This window comes from Homo sapiens, chromosome 1, assembly GCF_000001405.40.
Source record: "Homo sapiens chromosome 1, GRCh38.p14 Primary Assembly".
NCBI lineage: Eukaryota > Metazoa > Chordata > Mammalia > Primates > Hominidae > Homo > Homo sapiens.
In genome coordinates, this window is record NC_000001.11 from 100457028 (window position 1) to 100476001 (window position 18974).

The 18974-nt window shown below is 37.6% G+C and overlaps 1 protein-coding gene across 6 annotated transcripts in view, besides 2 other annotated features; it reads left to right on the forward strand.

Moving 5' to 3' along the window:
* Positions 1 to 18974, forward strand: part of CDC14A (cell division cycle 14A) — a 175277-nt gene that overhangs the window by 112027 nt on the left and 44276 nt on the right. For all 6 annotated transcript variants that reach the window (NM_001319211.2, NM_001319210.2, NM_003672.4 and 3 more), the window contains 2 exons: positions 5624 to 5854; positions 10929 to 11067. In NM_001319211.2, the coding sequence (NP_001306140.1) occupies positions 5624 to 5854; positions 10929 to 11067 (370 nt within the window). The remainder of the gene's footprint in view (positions 1 to 5623; positions 5855 to 10928; positions 11068 to 18974) is intronic.
* Positions 5121 to 5742: an enhancer, noted in NCBI's record as "OCT4-NANOG-H3K4me1 hESC enhancer chr1:100927704-100928325 (GRCh37/hg19 assembly coordinates)". NCBI's record gives its function as "activates a minimal SCP1, AML or CMV promoter by ChIP-STARR-seq in primed H9 embryonic stem cells {active_cell/tissue: H9 hESC(primed)}" and the evidence as "EXISTENCE:reporter gene assay evidence [ECO:0000049][PMID:30033119]".
* Positions 7021 to 7110: an enhancer, noted in NCBI's record as "active region_1383". NCBI's record gives its function as "activates an Ori minimal core promoter by ATAC-STARR-seq in GM12878 lymphoblastoid cells {active_cell/tissue: GM12878}" and the evidence as "EXISTENCE:reporter gene assay evidence [ECO:0000049][PMID:35858748]".

The window sequence follows — 18974 nt, forward strand, 5'->3', positions numbered from 1 at the left end:
CTGATTAAACCTGCTTTCTGTGCAAATTATCTGACTCAGGCCCAGGAAATGTTAGTAGGGATATTGTTTCAGTAGTAGTTTTGTTGTTGGGTATTTGGCAAAGTCGAAAGACTTTCACCATTTGTGATTCATGTGTTTGACTACGTTTTCTTAATGAGAAATTGAGAGATATAATTGTAAAAGCCATTTAAAAGTTTTTATGTATATAGACATTGTATATTCTATGGATACATGCATTTTGAAAAAAATTTTTTTTTAACAAAAGTGGCATCATAACATAGTTAATATCTTACAGCCAGGTTTCTTCACTTAACATATCACGACTTCTTTTTATAGCAGTAAATGAAGATCCATGTAATCATTTTCCACGACTGCATTGCATTTTGTTCTACCATATGACTGTGCCATATTGTGTTAATTTATTTTTGGTTTTTGCTTTTGTTTATTTAGAGACAGGCTCTTGCTTTGTTGCCCAAGCTGGAGTGCAATGGTGTGATCATAGCTCATTGCAACCTTGAACTCCTGTCCTCAAATGATCTTCCTGCCTCAGCCTCCCAAGTAGCTGGGACTACAAGGCACAGCCCACCACACCTGGCTGGTTTTTTTTTTTTTTTTTAATTTTTAGTAGAGATGAGGTCTCTATGTTGCCCGGGCTGGTCTTGAACTGCTGGGCTCATGTGATCCTCCTGCCTCCCAAAGCACTAGGATTACAGATTTAAGCCACTGAGCCCAGCCTGTTAATTTATTTTTGGATGAGATCTAAGTTGTTTATCTCTTATTCTTACTCTTTTTTTCCTTTTTAAATTTCATCATCTATTTAACCAGATGAAGTTTTTCACTTTTTAAAAACTGCTGTGGTTGGCATAAATGTTCATACATCTTTTTGCAGCTGTAGTTTCTTCTCTAAATTGTTAGAAATAGAATCACTAGATAAAAGGATACGCAATTTTGTATAATAAGTTATAAGTGTCAAAAATATTTAAAACAATTTTTGGTCCTATATTTAATATGGGGAAAAAATTATAGCCACCATTCGCTTACCTGCCAGGAAGGGTGCTAAGCCTCTTGCATATACATCATCTATTTAATGATCAGAACAACCCTCTGGAGCAGGTGGTATTTATTTTATAGAAGAGAAGCTGGAGGCTTACAGGAATTACCTAACTTGTCCAGGTTCATAGGCCAGTAATTGTTGGCGTGTGGATTCAAACATTGGTCTGTTTAATTCTGAATTTTGTGTTGTTTTAAATTTTATTATAGAGGATGTACATGCTCACTCTAGAAAATTTAAGTAATATAAAGAGTAAAACTCTTTAAAAACATCATATAATCAAGAAATAATCACTTTAAGATATCGCTCTATATGCATATTTTATTCTATGCATGTATTGTGCCCTGTCATATTGACATAAAAAAATCTGAAAGTACATTTATCTCACCTTTGTCAGCTTTTATGATGCCTAGAACAATTTCATTTAAGGCTGCCATTGGTAAAATATTGCTATTTTACTGGAATTTCCATTTTAAGATCTAATATTCACTAGAAGCTTCACTATACTTTTTTGTAAAGTACTTTAACTTTGTAAATGCTTTTTGAAGTTGAGAAAATAATTTTGTGATGGAATTAATAAACCTGATCCAATTACAGTGACGTCTTGGTAATTTTTTTTTTTTTTTGAATTGAGAAACCTGTGTTTTTCTGAGGAGGCTGAAAGTCATTTTAGAGGCTCGTTAGAAAAGCTGAGGTTTTAAAGAAGTGATCAAGTAGCTGTTGCTAGGAGGTAGCTAAAGGAAGCTCTAAAATCTTGGGATCTGGGCAGAATGTATTATAAGAGCCTTAAGTGTGTGTTTGTGTCAATAGGGAACACTAGGAGTTTCTTTTAGCCATTTTGATTCACATTGTTTTGACAGTGGGGAAGAGAAGAGCCCTACTTTTTTTTGTTAAACATTTTTGAATTGATAAATGATGGATAACAGCAGAATGAAACAGATATTTTGGATTTCAGATTTTCTGTAAAAATGTCTCTTAAGTGTCACTGTCATTCTCACTTCTATTTAAACACACACACACACGCACACACACACACACACACACACACAGAGAGAGAGAGAGAGAGAAAGATAGCTTCAGACTGAGAATCCCGACCATTTGAGGCATCAGCCTGCTCCTTTAATGAGAGAAGCCCAGTGTCCCGTTTAGTAAAGAGCCTGGGCAGGTTGAAGCCTGGCTCCATTCCTTTTTGGCTGCGTGAACTTCAGTGAGTTCCACAGCTTCTCTGAGCATCAGTTTTCCTATATATCACAGTGGGAGAAATATGATCCTCACTGCAGGCACCTAGTGAGGATTAGAGATGTTATGTGAAGTGCCTTGCAGAGTATTGGGCACACATAATAGGCGTTTATTAGATAGCAGGTATTATGGTTACATTTTTATCATTAGCTGGCCTAATCAACAGATTTTATGTCTTTCTACATTTGCCTGCTCAGTTTGCAGTTTTTACTTTTAATAATGACTGAGTGAACTAGTCATTTGACTCTGCTGTTCTTCAGTTTTCGAACTTTAAAATGAGGGCCTGGGAAGAGATGAATAAAAACATCTCTTTTGACTCTGATACCGTGTTCATGTGTTTGGTCAGCTTAACTCCAGGACTTTGTTGTGGTTCAGTGATGCCAGCGCACCATCTTGTGGCCAGATGGAGTAAGGGTCGGATGAAGGCTCCATAAGTTCTGGGTCGGCACATTATACACATTGCTAAAACCAATCTCTCGCAAAAAGCACTCACGTACATCCGTAAAAGCCACAAACAGTTGTTCACAGGTCATAGGACATTTCCATTGTTCGTTATAATTTATTCTAAACAGTTTTAAGGATTTTTATAAAACCTACTCACCAATTCTAACCGCTCATGTTCATATCATGTTCTCTTATTTGGAGTCTTAACAGATAGAATCAAGTTGAATCTTACTTGAAATTAGCCCCAGCATGGGTGTTGGAATCTGACTGCCAGGATTGAAATACTGGCTCTACCTCTTACTAGCTGTATGTGTACGGGCCAGCTTTTCCAGGCACCAGAAATTGAGTAATTGTAGGTTTTAATGAGATAATCCACATAAAGCACTTAGCATAGTGGCTAGCATATAGTAAGTGCTTGATAAACGTTAGGTGCAATTATTGTTGTTATTATTATTTCAGTGCCCTGTTGCCATATTTGGACAATTTCTGTCCAGTGTTTTCTTCTCAAAAGATGTATACATCGTTTCTCTTAATAGTCTATTTAGGCATGTTAGCTATGCTGCCATTTACTCATGATGGAAATTCATATATGAAAAGAGAGATTCTTGCAGCCTTTGTTGCAGGGAGGAAGGGGATAGGCACTGAACCAATTGCTAACACAACGTGTGACAGGTGCTGTCATGGAGGTCCCAGGCATGCTAGCAACCCAGAGGCAGAAGCTCTCACCAGCCCGCCACACCAGGGCAGGCTGCCCAGGTGTTTATGAGCCCTTCTCCTCCCCATTCCTCACATGATAGAAAAACCGTTACTTCTTAATGCCAACTACAGTTCTTTTTTTGCTTTAGGCTATAAATCTGTTGCAGGGAAATAATTTGAGCAAGTAAACCAACTAGGAAAACAGACTTGATTTTTGCAGTTAGAAAAGCATGTTTTCTCCATGTTTGTGTAGGTTATTGTTTCTACACAGAAGATTTTAAATAAGCTCTGTTTTACCTGTTTGCTCAAAAGCAACATAGCCTGTGAAAATCACATATCTGAGCTGTGGATTAATTGGTCCTGCCTTCCAATTCTGTCTTCATCCTTTGTGTGACCTGGCCAAGTGTACCAGTTATGGCTGTCCAACTCTGGTAAAAGGCAGTTTTTGGAATATGTTGGGTAGCTCATAGACTTTAAGAAAAGGCTGGAGAACTAGGCTTAGAAGATGAACAGGACCCAAGTGGGAAAATGGGAACCACACTAGGCATTTCAAACATAAAGCATTTAATACAAGGAGTTTATTTCAAAGAAGACTAAAAAGTAAAAAGGCAACACTGAAGAAACCAGAATATGTTGGAGAAAACAGCTAGTACCTTTAAGGCTGGGGGGACAAAAGGGACAAAAGTGGAGTTAGCAGAACCTGCTCCTGTTTTCTGCTGCTGAAGTGATGCTGCCAGGAGGACAGGAAGAATTCCCTTCCTCCTCCTCAGGTTGAGGTTTAGTGCCTCCCATTTTTACAACCAATAGGAAGCCAGATAGAAAGGTAGTCTGGGAAATGTAGGGCGTAGTATATGGACTCCAGCCCCAGTGTCACAGAGCATAAGAGTCGGCTTGGAGCTGAGAGCTGACTAGCATAACAGGGATCCAAGGCAGCAAGAAATACAGCCAAGCACACAGCGTGGAAACAGTCTGGTTCACTTTGCTGGCTGCCGCCACCCCTGGAACCTCCCATCATGAATGGGTTCCAACTGAGATAATTGCACTCAGCTGGTATGTTAGGGTTCAGTGAATTCTGAATGGGTTACAGATGTGGCCATCAGTGTGCTGGGAACTTAGTCCCCTGAACTTTTGGAGCTGCCATTGCAAGGCCTGCAAAGGCCAAAGCCCCCAGTGGTTGCCTTGGCTGATTAGCTAAGGCTAGGTCTGTAACCCAGCTGACTGTGTAGCTCCCAGGAATACTCACATGATGGTGGAGCCACTCAAAAATAAAAGGGGATTTAAAGGTGGAGCATCTTCCTCCCTCAAAAAAAGGAAGTGTCCACAAAAGTTATTGTTTATTTTTAACTAAAAAAATTTATATTTTAATTGATAAAAATTATATATTTATGGTGTACAACAACTTTTGAAATATGTATACATCGTAGAATGGTTAAGTCAAGTCTTACTTAAGTATTCACATATTTATCATTTTTTGTGGTGAGAAGACTTAAATTTTACTTTCTAAATGACTTTAAAGTATATAATACATTGTTATTATAGTCACTATGTTGTACAATAGATCTCTGGGACATACTCCTTTCTAACTGAAATTTTGTTTTCTTTGACCAATATCCTCCCAACACCCCCTCTTTTAGTTTCTTAATCTGTTAAATGGAATTAGCCATACTTAAGAGATGGTTTTGAGAATTTGAAATGATACGCAATTGTGACTTGTACATAGTAGGTGCTTAATAATAATTGCTTCTGGGGAGCATTGTACTACAAATTAAAACTATACATATGGCAAAAAAGCTTCAGCTGTAGTTGAAAACTGTTTGTCAAGTAGAGAATAAAGCTCAAGAGAGAATAAAGTCACCATTCTAGGTCTGTTATGCACATTTGATTACTTCAAGAATGCTTTTGTCTTGGGAGTGGGAAGAGTATGCTCCCAGGATTCGAATCTAGAGGTTGAGATTTTGAACTTTAATGATGTATTTTCAGTACTTACAGAAGTTTTCTTTTTAACCTCCTGTGGTGCTTACAGTTATGCAGATTGATGCTTGTAGGAGCTTGCTGTGACCTCTTCTCTCACACAACACACTTTCCTCCCAAGCTTTGTTGAGATTTATACACTTCATTGTTGAGAGTTTTGTATTTCTGGGTTGTGGAAGATGAAATGCATGCCTTTTGCTTACTGCTCCTTTGTTCCTTTAGGTTATCCTCTTCACGCCCCTGAAGCCTACTTTCCTTATTTCAAAAAGCATAATGTGACTGCAGTTGTGAGGCTAAACAAAAAGATTTATGAGGCAAAGCGCTTCACAGACGCTGGCTTCGAGCACTATGACCTCTTCTTCATAGATGGCAGCACACCCAGTGACAACATCGTGCGAAGGTTCCTGAACATCTGTGAGAACACCGAAGGGGCCATCGCCGTTCACTGCAAAGGTGTGTGCAAGGCCTCGGTGGTGGTGGCTGTGCTTATCGAAGGGGCGGGCCAAGGAAGAGCAAATAACATAAAACAAAACCTGTTTAGTGTCTTAGAAAAACAATGAGGTTTTAAATTTCAGACAACTGGGACACAAACTCATTTTAATAACCCCTTCTTAAAGAAACGATTGCTTGGGTGTGGACAATTGGTGGTGGTGTGGCTTTCTTGATATGCCAGTTTTTCAGACCTTACCTTTCCAGGCCCACGTGCCACAATGAGGGGAAACACAGTAGCAGTGTCTTTAGGCTGCAGGAACACCTTTAAACAGGTAAAATTCTCAAGAGACAAGGGTTGTTAGTTTTCCTCTCTCCTTTGTTTTTTTTCAGAATTGCCCATCTCTTCTCCATCCTCTTGCACTGTCGTGGTTCTGTTTTATGACCCAGTTATCTGGACCCCCATTCCAGTCTCTGCTTTTCCCTCCCCTCCTAGTCTTTGGCTTCATGGAGCAGAGCGTCTTCCATGCCTGTTGCTAGGGGCAATCCGCTAGCTTACAATGCTGCTGATGTGATGCTGCCTCATGGAATAAACTTAAAGAGTTTGTTTTGCAAAAATCTCTGATCTCTGGGGGTGGATACTTTGGGGCAGGAATTGTTCAGACTATAGAAGGTTTAGGATTGCCAGATTTAGCAAATAAAAATACAGGCTGCCTAATTAAATTTGAAAGTTAGATAAACAATGAATACTTTTAAAACAAAAAGTATAAATATGTCCCAAATATTGCAGGGAACATGCATTCTGTATTTTATCTGGCAACCCCATGTCAGCTACTCAGAAAATATGACATGCCATTTGCTCTAAGCTTGTTTGACTTCGAGGAGGCTTAAAATCCACTCCATTCCAGATCTTTCGGTATGGATAATACTGGAAATATTCCAGATATTTTACTGGGTCTTTGATTTCAGCGAGGAGAAATCACTAGGGCCGCCCTGGGCTGGAGCCTCGAGTTCCTCATGTGCAGCTCCTCCTAGTGTCGCTGGGTGGTGCTGTGCTTATGGTTTTGGGTCTAGACCCGGTTTCCCTCTCATTTTATGCTAATCATCTAGTAGGTGTTGGGGAGGGTGCTGTTCTTTTCATGTGCCTAGTGCTGCTGTAACTGACTTATTCAGACGAGTATGGCTTTGGTTCTGACAGAAATTAAAATGCCGTTTTGTAGGCCCTTGTTTCTATGTTTAAGATTTGAGTAGGTGGAGGTACTTTGTGAACATGTGAGCAAAAATGGGAAGCTGCGGTTTCCCAGAGACCCAGAGAGATGGAAATGAGCAGCACGTGGCCTGGGTTTGGAGCAGGGCTCCCCATGCCAGGCTCCCTCCTCCTGGGTGGGCAGAGCTCTCCCTCCCCACCCTCCCCATTAGCTAGCAGGATGGGCCCTGGCTTTGTGGGATATCTTGTCTCTGGCGTGGAGTCTGTTAGGAAGGTGTCACTTGCTGGCTCATTTGTGGGTGCTGCTTTCAGGCCACAGTGGGGTGCCAGTGTGTTGGCTTGTCCCCATGTGATTCATTTGCACCCTGTTTGCTTTTCCATTGCATTTTGTTCAGTATTGCCCAGGTCCAAGAAAAAGCCCACATGTCACGTATTTTAAACAGCAATAGAACTTGAGAGCTAATGGGAACGTTTATATCAACGTTTAGCAGGAGATAATCCTATCTTCTCTTTCAAACTTTAGTTTTGTGCCATAAAAATTGTATTTTTTCCTGAGATTAATTTGGCCTTATTTCTTAGTTCAAGTAGTTTTATTATTACTACGTCGTAGAGTTTATCTGTGGATTAGCCATCCGTATCTTGGATTGACACATTCAAAGGAGAAGAACTGCAAAGCTTTCATTAAAACTCAGTGTGTTTCTTGATAGTATTTCTCACCTGAGAGACCTTGTGCAAAGAAAACTCTCTGGTGTTAAACATTCTTATTACAGATATTTTCTCTATATCCTTGACCTGTGAATGTTTACCTTTTAAAAAATATATGTATTTATTTTATATTGCAAATTTCTTTTCTTTTCTTTTCTTTTTTTTTTTTTTTGAGACAAAGAGTCTCGCTCTGTCACCCAGGCTGGAGTGCAATGGTGCGATCTCAGCTCACTGCAGCCTCTGCCTCCCAGGTTCAATCAATTCTCCTGCCTCAGCCTCCCAAGTATCTGGAATTACAGGTGCCCACCACCACTCCTGGCTAATTTTTTATATTTTTAGTAGAGATGGGGTTCTGCTGGCCAGAACTGGTCTTGAACTCCTAACCTCAGGAGAATGTTGGCCAGGCTGGTCTTGAACTCCTGACCTCAGGTCATCCACCTGCCTCAGCCTCCCAAAGTGCGGGGATTACAGGTGTGAGCCACCGTACCCAGTCTGTATTGTAGATGTTTTTATTTTAAATCAGAACCTTTAACATTGAAGTCAGTTCTTGTATAGGATAGTCACATTTACATGTGGTAATATCTTTTTGAGATTGTTATTTCATTTTCTTCCACTTGCACACACACGTAGGATTCTTTTATAAGGATTACACCTTTGGTTTAATTACAGCTGTATTGCTTTTCACAGCATACTTATCTACTATAGGCTTATTAATTATTTTGACATCTGCCCTAATTAAGTCAGCTTAGTTTTCTGGGAATTCAAGCAGCACTCAGTCTTTTAATTGAACTAAAAGAAGGAAGGAGAAAGAATCTTATCCTATGTCAAATGAACTTTGGTGGCTACTGAAAAGGGAATGAATATGTCATGCCTCAACGTAAAGTATTTTATACAGAGATAAACTAGAAACCAATTTGCTGGGGATTACATTTCAATATCTGCATTTCACTTTGTGGTTGATAAAAGAGATGGCTATGAATTCTTGAAATTCTCTACCACAAATAATAATCTAAAATACAGCAACGTTGTGATAGTCCAGTATGTGATTATCGATGTTCTATAGGGCTTTCAGAAAATGCCTGGAACTATAAAGCAATTGGTGTTTGACTTGGTATAAATAGAACACTTTTCAACATCTTGTCATGCTGTGCCAGGGAGCCCTTTAATTACAAATGCTTAAAAAATTTTGTTAAAGTTTTTATAGAAACTTAGTGAAATGTTCCTATTCAGTTCAGTTGTGGTAAGAGCTCCTAACTATTGAGTGCTAAGTGCGTTCTTTTTATAGATCAAAATTATAGACTCTTTTTTAAAAGGGGGAAGCTGCTTTAGTTTCAGAGAAATTGGAAAATTTCCTGCACCTCCTTTTTGGTTGTGAGTGTGAACAGGAGCCTAAGTGAGGGAGCCATCCAGGTCTTTGCACAGTGGGGAGCAGTGAGAGAGAGTGTTGTCTCCATAAGGAAGGCCCTTTTCTCTCCAGATAGACACCCAAATTGGTGACTTGAAGGAAGAACTCTGGAAACTCACTGGGCTCTGGCTTCTGCTCCAGGATGTCACCTGTGTTTTATCTATACGGTTGCCTATAGTCTTGCCAGGCATCTAGGGAATTAACAACGATAGGCACTGGGTGAAATAGAAGGCAAATTACGCAGAAATCTTAATCATAAAGGGAGAGCCCCACTGAGACCAAAATTAAACCTCACTCTTCGAAAGAACATTGATGTTTGATCTGGGGCAAGGGTTCCTTCAGATTAAAACAGAACACACACACACACCTCATCTAATGAAACAGAGTATGAATACTTCTTAAAAAGGAAGGGTTAGCCGGGAGTGGTGGCCCACGCCTGTAATCCTAGCACTTTGGGAGGCCGAGGAGGGCAGATCACCTGAGGTCAGGACTTCGAGACCAGACTGACCAACATGGAGAAACCCTGTCTCTACTAAAAATACAAAATTAGCCGGGCATGGTGGTGCATGCCTGTAATCCCAGCTACTCGGGAGGCTAAGGCAGGAGAATCGCTTGAACCTGGGAGGTGGAGGTTGTGGTGAGCCGAGATCGCACTATTGCATTCCAGCCTGGGCAACAGCAGCAAAACTCGGTCTCCAAAAAAAAAAAAAAAAAAAGAAGGGTTAATGGGAAGGAAATGTCAGGCATCTGTAGACACAAAATTGTTGTTTTAGTGGGATGAAAAACTTTTTTTTTTTGTATAAAGCACAGATTTACATAAACAGATATGCAGTCTATCTGTGACAGTGAAATTTCATGGGGACTGATTAGGAATAAAATATCTAAAGAGGCTCCTGGAAGGAACAATAATGTAAAAAAGGTTGAGGAACACTGATTTAAAGACATACATTTTTCATATTTTAACATTTCTGAAGTTAGAATGGATCTTAAAATTGATGGCATGTCATAGTTTAATTTTTTCTTTCTTAGTGGAACTTACATACTACACGACTGTAGTTTTAGATTTGCTGAAATGCTGTGTGCTCCCAATTACTGGGAGATAAGAGAAGACTACCTTTATTGTTTGATCAGGGAAAGCTGACAAAAGGTCCCCTCAAAAGCAGAAGATTCTTGAACATGTAAAAAATGAAACTATCAATGTTTCCCTACTTTGTTTTGTTTTACACACGCGCGCACACACACACACGCATATGCACACAATTTTTTTTTCTTTCTTTTTCTAACTAAATGTTTTCATGGATGAAGTCAACATTGTACCAGTTTTCTAGGTCAGAAATGTCACTTACCTATAACTTTCCCTGTGACCCAGTCCTAATGGATTTCTAATTGAGCTTTACATCTTTGTTGCAGTTGCTCACCCTCATCCCTTTCCACCCTCATCCCAACCCCCCAGCCACCCTTGCTTCCCTGCCCCAGCCTTCCATCTCATCTCTCTTGCTTCCATCTCTGGCTTTTCCACTCCAGCCAGTAATGCTGCTGCCAGACCCATTTGCTTTTTATCACATCACTTTCTTGCCCCCAAATCTATGGCACCTTCATTTTGCCCTTTTCATTGTTTAAAGAAAAATTGGGTTTTACATGATAGCAGTTATGTTTATTAGCTGTTGATAATATCATCACACTTGAATGCAGAGCAGTTTCTGGGCAAGGTTTGATTTCAGTGTTTTTGTGGTAGCATTTGCTAGACTTTATATTTCTTATTCTGTTTCATTCTCTTACAGCTGGTCTTGGAAGAACAGGGACATTGATAGCCTGTTATGTAATGAAACACTACAGGTTTACACATGCTGAAATAATTGCTTGGATTAGAATATGCCGGCCAGGCTCTATTATAGGACCCCAGCAGCACTTCCTGGAAGAGTAAGTATATTGTCCCCATTACCACATTATATCCTGTTCTTGATCCTTTCTACCTCTTGTTCCCCTGGTTGTGGACCATGTCAGCCTGTGGTTATAAAATGGCTGCATTGTTAAGAGAAGTGTGTGCCTCTAATAGAATATTGTTGATTTGACAGCTAATGCATTCTAACTTTGTACCTTTTATATCTCTTAGATCAGGTGAGAGTGAGAAGAAAATCACAGAGCCATCTCTGCCTACCCTTTTTCTGTCATTTTCTATGTGTGATCTGGCTACAGTGCAATTTTCTTATGACATCCCACTTGGCACTTTTCATTCTTTTCTTTTGTTTGCATGTCTTAAAGCATAATGAGAAAAAAAAAACCACAATTAAGGTCACTCAGTGATTTTGGTAAGATTGCTGCTCTCCTGACAACTAACTAACTAAACTGCTAATGTAGGTACAACTTATGAATATACCCAAGAAGTTACCACAGAAGAAAAAAGGAGGAGAACTGAGTTTTAGTTCTGGCTCTCCACTAACTAGCTTTATGACCATTATTTAGAAGAATACTTATGTATTCACTCATTCATTTATTCCCACAGCCATTCATTCATTAACTTTTTGTCCAGCCTCAGCCCAAGAGAGAGAGATTTAACCTGTAGGACACAATCCTTTCTTCTTAGAATGTTAGAATGTATCTCAATGTACTCATTAATAAAACAAGAAGATGAAGTTAGTACTGGTTGATCTAAGTCCAGCTCTAAAATACTATCTATTAGTGATATCTTTTACTGAAATTTCATTTTTTTTTCTTTTTATGCTGGGTTGACTCTATTTTATTTTAATTTTAATTTTTTATTTTTTGTAGAGACGGGGGCCTCACTATGTTGCCCAGGCTGGTTTTGAACTCCTGGGCTCAAGCAATCCTCCCACCTTGACTTCCCAAAGTGCAGGGATTACGGGTGTGAGCCACTATGCCTGGCTGATGGCTCTCTTTTGAATAGCATTCTTTTCCATATAATTATTTATTTCCAATTTAAATATAATTATTCCTTTCCAGTTTTAATGATCATGATCATGTGTGAATTCGTAAAGAAACGATCATGAATTTCATAGGAAGATGCCATAAGTAAACTCTTAGCATCTGAAATGATTAAGAGGATTTGAGCCTGCTGAGGAATTACTTACTTTAGTTGCCAGTCCTAGAGGTAATAACTGATTAAGAAGTGCTGAAAAATGAGTGGTTATACTTTAGCTTAAAAGAATGATGCAGATGTCTAATGAATGCATTAGAAAAAATATCCAAGGACAGGATCATTACAAAGACAGGAATTTCTCTCTTTTTACCCGTGAGGTACAAATAAGATAATTCTGTTATTTTGGAGCTTTATTCTTGATCAGATTCTCATTGTCTTCCTCTATTTCTCTGTTTTGCATTTTATGTGCCTGTAGCCTGGAGCTTTGTGCCATGTATCTGCCAGGTTCTCATTATACTAATTGCTGAAGTTGAAGAAATGGTCTTAGGGTTAAAAAACCAAATACTCCTAAGCCTAGTTCTTTAAGCCATTTAATCAATGTCTTAAAATTATTGCTTGTCATTTAATAGGTATTGCTATACCTATTGCCCCAGGCATTCTGCTAAGTACAGCTCGCAAGGTGAGGAGATATAGCAGAGAATTCTACCAGTCAAGGTCACCTAGCTTTCTCAGGGTGTCAGATAACACAGCCCTCATGTTTCATGGCTGCATACTCCCTCCAACCTCCCTATTATACTCTTTCTCTCTGCCATATCTCAAAATAGTAAGAGAAGAAATTAGAGTTATGAGGCAAAGGCACTCTAGGCTGAAGAAAGGCTTTTAAATTTATAGATACTTAAGCTGTATATAAAGAACTCTCAAAACTCAAGAAAACAACTTAATATAAAATGAGTAAATGATTTGAACAGAAAGTCCTCCAAAATGATATACAGATGGTGAATATTCCTCATGATCATAAACACAGAGTTCTTAAAGAAACATTGCATATCAAATCCAGCTGTATAAAAAAGATAGTGCATCATGACCATCATGGCTCAATATTAGAAAATCAATATAATTCACCAAATTAACACAAAAAGTAGAAAAATTATATGATTATCCCAATAGATGTACAAAAATTTGACAAAGTTTAGTACCCATTTTTAATAGAAACTTTCAATAAACTAGAAATAGAAGGAAATTTCCTCATTCAGATAAAAATAATCTATGAAAACTCTATAGCTAAAATTATATTTAATGGTGATGCTTTTCCTGTAAGATCAGGAACAAAACAAGGGTGTCTACTCTCACTACTTCTAATATTATACTGGAAATCTTAACCAGTGCAATGAAAAAAAAAGAAAGAAAAAAAAACTTAGAACTAAAGAGTGAAATTAGTAAGATTGCAGGATACAAAGTCAGTTTTCAGAAATTTTAGCAAAATTTTAAAATTCTGCTAATTAAAAGACACACAGTATATATATCTGACAAAAGACTTGTACACATATATTAAAAAGTATAAATAAGCAATTTTAAAAATTAATTTTTGAATGGGCAAAAGCCTTGGCCAGATATCTCATAGAAGGTAATATATGTATATGAAAAGATGTCCAACATCATTAGCCATCAGGGAAATAGAAATTGAAACCACAATGAGATACTATTTTATGTCAACCAAAATGGCAAACAAAAAAGAAGTTTTACTACAAAATGCTGGCAAAGATATGGAGCAACTGGAACTCTCATGTGTTAACCAATTGGTGTATAATTGTTTGGCCATTTCTCATAACGTTAATCTATATTTAACTCTATGACCCAATGATTTCATTTCTAGGTATTTAAATAAGGGAAATGGAAACATTTGTCTACAAAGACTTGTACAAGAATATTCACAGTTGCTTTATTCATAGTAGCCCAAAATTAGAAATCATCCAAATGTCCGTCAACAATTTATGAGTGAATATATCATAATATGTTCATAAAATGAAATACTAGCCAGCAATAACAAAGAATGAATTACTGATATACTCAACATAGATGAATATCATATTATTGTAAGAGGAAAAAAAAAGCCAGACACAAAATAATACATGCTGTATAGATAAAGCCCAAGAACAAGCAAAACCATTCTGTGGTGATAGAAATCAGAAAGCAATTGCTTCTGAGGTGTGTCAGGGAAAACTGACCCCCCAAAAAAGCATGACAGAACTTTCTAGAGTGTTGGAAATGTTCTGTATCTTATCTTGGGTTGTGTTTACACAGGAGCACAATCAGTTGTAATTCCATATACTAGCCTTAAACAATTAGAAAATAAAACCTAAAAAATTATACCATTTACAATGTATCTGGTAACTTCAGGTTAGAGATGTGCAATATCTCTACACAGAAAACCGAAGAATTTTTTTTATTGAGAGAAATTAAAGAAGATATAAATAAGTGAAAAGATAAAGATTATCTTGAATAAGATCAAAGCTGGAGGATTTACACTCCCAGATATGGATTCATTTTAAAACTGCAGCAATTATGATATTGAGATATTGGTGTCAAGACAGACAAATTAACCAATAGAATAGAATATAAAGTGCAGAAACAAATTCAAAAATATACAGACACTTGATTTATGATAAAGGTGACATGTTAGAGCAACAGGAAAAGGTCTTTTTAGTAAATTCTGCTGGGTCAACTGGATATCTATATGGGGAAAAAGAAGAACCTTGGCTCCTATCTCACAACCTATTTTTTAAAGGAATTCCTGATGAGTTGTTGATTCAAATGTGACAGAAAAATCAGTGAAGCTTCTGGAAGATAACATAAAATAATGTATTCATACTTTGAAGTTAACAAAGATATCTTAAGTGGTACATGGAAAGCATTACCTATAACTGAGTTGAAATTGTAAAATTCTCTTCATCAAAGACACTATTAAGAGAGTGAAAATGAAAACCACAAGAGTAGGAGAATATTTACATCACATAATAATGGGCACTGTACTTGTACCCAGAATACTTACACTCCTACACATTAACAATAAAAAGACAATCTGATAAAAAATGTGTAAGAAACATGAAAAGACATTTCATAGAAGAGAATGTACAAATGGCCAATAAACATACGAAAAGCGATTCACCCTCATTAGCTATTTCTTATCTTTTGGTACAGCTATCTGTTGGAGATATACCTGTGAGTGGAACAGTTGGGTATGTGTGCATTCAGAGTTAGAATTATTAAACAGTTTTCCAAAGTAGATATGCCTGTTTATGTTCTCATCAGCAATGGTTTGTCAGTCTCTTAAATTTAAGCCATTAGATTTTTTAAGTGATAACTTGCTTTATAGTTTTAATTTGCTTTTTCTTGATGACTAAGGTCAATCTTTGTATATTCTAGATACTAGTCCTTTGTCTGGTAAATGTTTTTCAAGGTTTTTTTCAGTCTATAACTTGTCTTTTCATCCTCTTAATAGGGTCTTTTACAGAATAAAAGTTTTAAATTTTGATGAAATCCCTTTTATCACTTTTTTCTTTTTGATATTGTCTGAGACTCTTAGTTTAGCCCTAGACTCAATGATTTCTCATATTTTTTTTTCTAAAAAGTTTATAGTTTTACATTCACATTTAAGTCTGTGATGGATTTTGAGGTTTTTGTTTATTTCATAACGTGTGAGACTTAGGTCAAGCTTCTTTTTTTTTGGCCTATGCATGCCCAGTTGCTTCAGTACCATTTTCGTTGAAAATTCAGTTTCTCCACTGAATTTTTTCTATAGCAGCATCAAAAATCATTTGGATATATTTGTGTTGATCTATTTCTTTGTTCTCTATTCTGTTCCATTGACCTATGTGTCTCCTTCCTTCAATGCCACACTCTCTTGATTACTGGACCTATATAGTGAGCCTTAATATTGGAAGAGTGATTCCTTCCACTTTCTCCTTGTTTAACAAAATATTCTTAGCAATTCCACTTTCTTTTCCTTTTCATATACATTTTAGAGTAAGCCTGTCTAAATCTACAGATAATGTTTCTGGGATTTTAATAGGAAGTATGTTAATCCTCTATATCGATTTGGGGAGAATTGACATCTTTACTATTGTTGAGTCTTCTAATCCATAAACATGATATGTCTTTTCATTTATTTAGATCTTCTTTGATTTCTTTCATCAGCATTGTGTAGTTTTCTGGATGCAAGTCCTTTTTTGTTAAATTTACACCTAAGTACTTATTTTTTTTTAGCAATTATAAATGGTATTTATGTCCATATGTTCATTGCTGGTATGTAGAAATACAATTGATTTATCTTTTTCTTTCTTTCTTTTTTTTTGAGACGGTGTTTCACTCTTTTTGCCCAAGCTGGAGTCCAATGGCACGATCTTGGCTTACTGCAGCCTCTGCCTCCTGGGTTCAAGTGATTCTCCTGCCTCAGCCTCCCAAGTAGCTGGGATTACAGGCGTGTGCCACCACGCCCGGCTAATTTTTTGTATTTTTAGTAGAGATGGGGTTTTACCATGTTGGCCAGGCTGGTCTTGAACTCCTGACCTCAGGTTATCCTCCCACCTCGGCCTCCCAAAGTGCTGGGATTACAGGTGTGAGCCACCCTGCCTGGCCACAATTGATTTTTCTGTTTATTTTGTATCCCGAAACCTAGGAGTTTTATATGGGAGTGTGTGTGTGTGTATGTATGTGCAAATTCTTGGGGATTGCTTTTTCATCCACAAATAGGACAATTTTATTTTCTTTCTAATCTATATACCTTGTGTTTCCTTTTCTTCCCTTGTTGGACAGGCTAAAACTTCCAGCGCTGTGATGAGTAAGAGTGATAAGAGCAGACATCCTTGTCGTGCTCCCAGTCTTGGAAGGAAAGCATCCAGGCATTCACCTGGATTAAGTATGTTAATTGAGGTTTTCTATAGATGTTCTTTATCAGGTCGAGGCGGTTCCCCTCTATTTCTGTGTTTCTGAGGGTTCTTATCATGAATGAGTGTTGAATCTTGTCAAATACTTTTTTGGCATTGATTGATATGATCACATGATTTTCTTCTTAAGATTGTTAATATGGTAGATTGCATCGATTGTTTTTTGTATATTGAAGAAGGCTTATGTCCCTGGAATAAACACCATTTGGTCATGGTGTGTAATTCTTTTTATATATTGCTGAACTCTGTTAGTTAAAAATTTTTATGTCCATATTCATAAGTAACATTGGTTTGTAGTTTTCTTTTTTTTGTCTGTTTTGTCTGGGTTTTGTGTCAGGATAATACTAGTTTCATGAAATGAATTGGGAATTGTTCTTCTCTGTTTCCTGGAAGAGATTGTGAGAGCTGGTGTGAATTCTTAAAATGCTTGGTAGAATTCTCCAGTGAAATTATCTGGGCCTGGGGATTTCTTTTTAAAATTATGAATTCAATTTCCTTAATAGATATAAGGCTATTTGAATAATCCATTTCATATTGGGTGAATTATGGTAGTTTGTTTTTTGAGGAATTAGTCCGTTTCATCTAAATTGTCAAAATTATGTTTGTGGAGTGTGTTTTTTTTTTTTAAAGTATTCCTTTATGTTTGCAGAGCCTGTAGTGATTTTCTTGGCTTCATTTCTGATGTTAGTAATTTGTGTATTTTTTTTTCCCTTTGTCAGTCTCCCTAGAAGTTGGACAATTTTATTGATATTTTCAAAGAATCAGCTCTTTGTTTCATTAATTTTCTCCTTATATTTTTGTTTTTAATTTCATTGGTTCATGTTTTTATATTTATTATTTCCTTCTGCTTCCTTGTAGTTTTCAGTATTTTGGCAATGTGTCTAGGTGTGGATTTCATTGGAATTATCCTTTTTTGAGGTTTACTCAGCTTCTTGAATGTTTAGGTTTATGTCTTGTCAAATTTGGAAGGTTTTCAGCTATTATTTACTTAAGTGCTTTCTCAACCCTGTCCTCTTTTTCCTTTCCTTCTGGAACTCTGTTGACATGAGTGTTAGGTTTTTGTTATAGTCCCACAGCTCTCTGGGACTCTCTTCATCATTTTATTTTTAGTTTATTTTCTCTTAGTTATTCAGATTGGGTAGTTTCTACTATTCTATCTTCCCCTTTACAAATTCTCTCATCTCTCCATTCTGCCATTTAACCCACTCACTGAATTTTACATTTTGGTTATATGCTATTCTAAACTTTCTGTTTGGTTTTCTTTATATCTATTTCTTTGCTGAAACTTCCTATTTTGTCAGTTGTTTCATGTGTCTTTGTAATTGTTTGTTGGGGCATTTTTATCATGGCTACTTTTAAATCTTTGTCAAATTATTCTAACATCTCTGTCATCTTGGTGTTGGCATTTAGCGATCATCTCTTTTCATTCAGTCAATGTCAATGTGAGAAAATGTTAACCTGGACATTTTCCTAGTATGTTGAGACTCTGGATCTTACTAAAACATTCTGTTGTATCTGGCTTCTTACACTGCTTCAGCAGAGGAAGGTGGTGGCAGCTGGGTTGGGGGGCAGGGGGTTGCCACATTGCTACTACCAGGTGGAGGCAGGAATCTGGATTCTGTACTCAGCCTCTGTTGATGTCCAAGGCTGAGGGGCTTCTTGTTGCTGGTGGGTGGAGGTGGGAGTTCTAGTTTTCCATCGGGTCTGCACTGACACTGTGATAGGGGTCACCTTGTTACTGAAGGGTGTTGGTGAAAGTCTTCACTCTCCACTAGGCCTCCTGTGACACCACTCCAGCTGACAGAGGAGGGTTGCTGGTCACTGCCTGGTTGAGGTGGACTTCCAGGTTCCACCATTACTACCTTAGTGAGGAGTGGGGCCGAAATTGGGGGATCTCATTATCTGACTCCCAACTTAGCCTTCTTTGACACTTCTGTGGCGAGGGATTGACAAAGGGTAAAGGGGTGCCTACCTATAGCCTGGCAGCGTGGAAATCCAGGATCCCC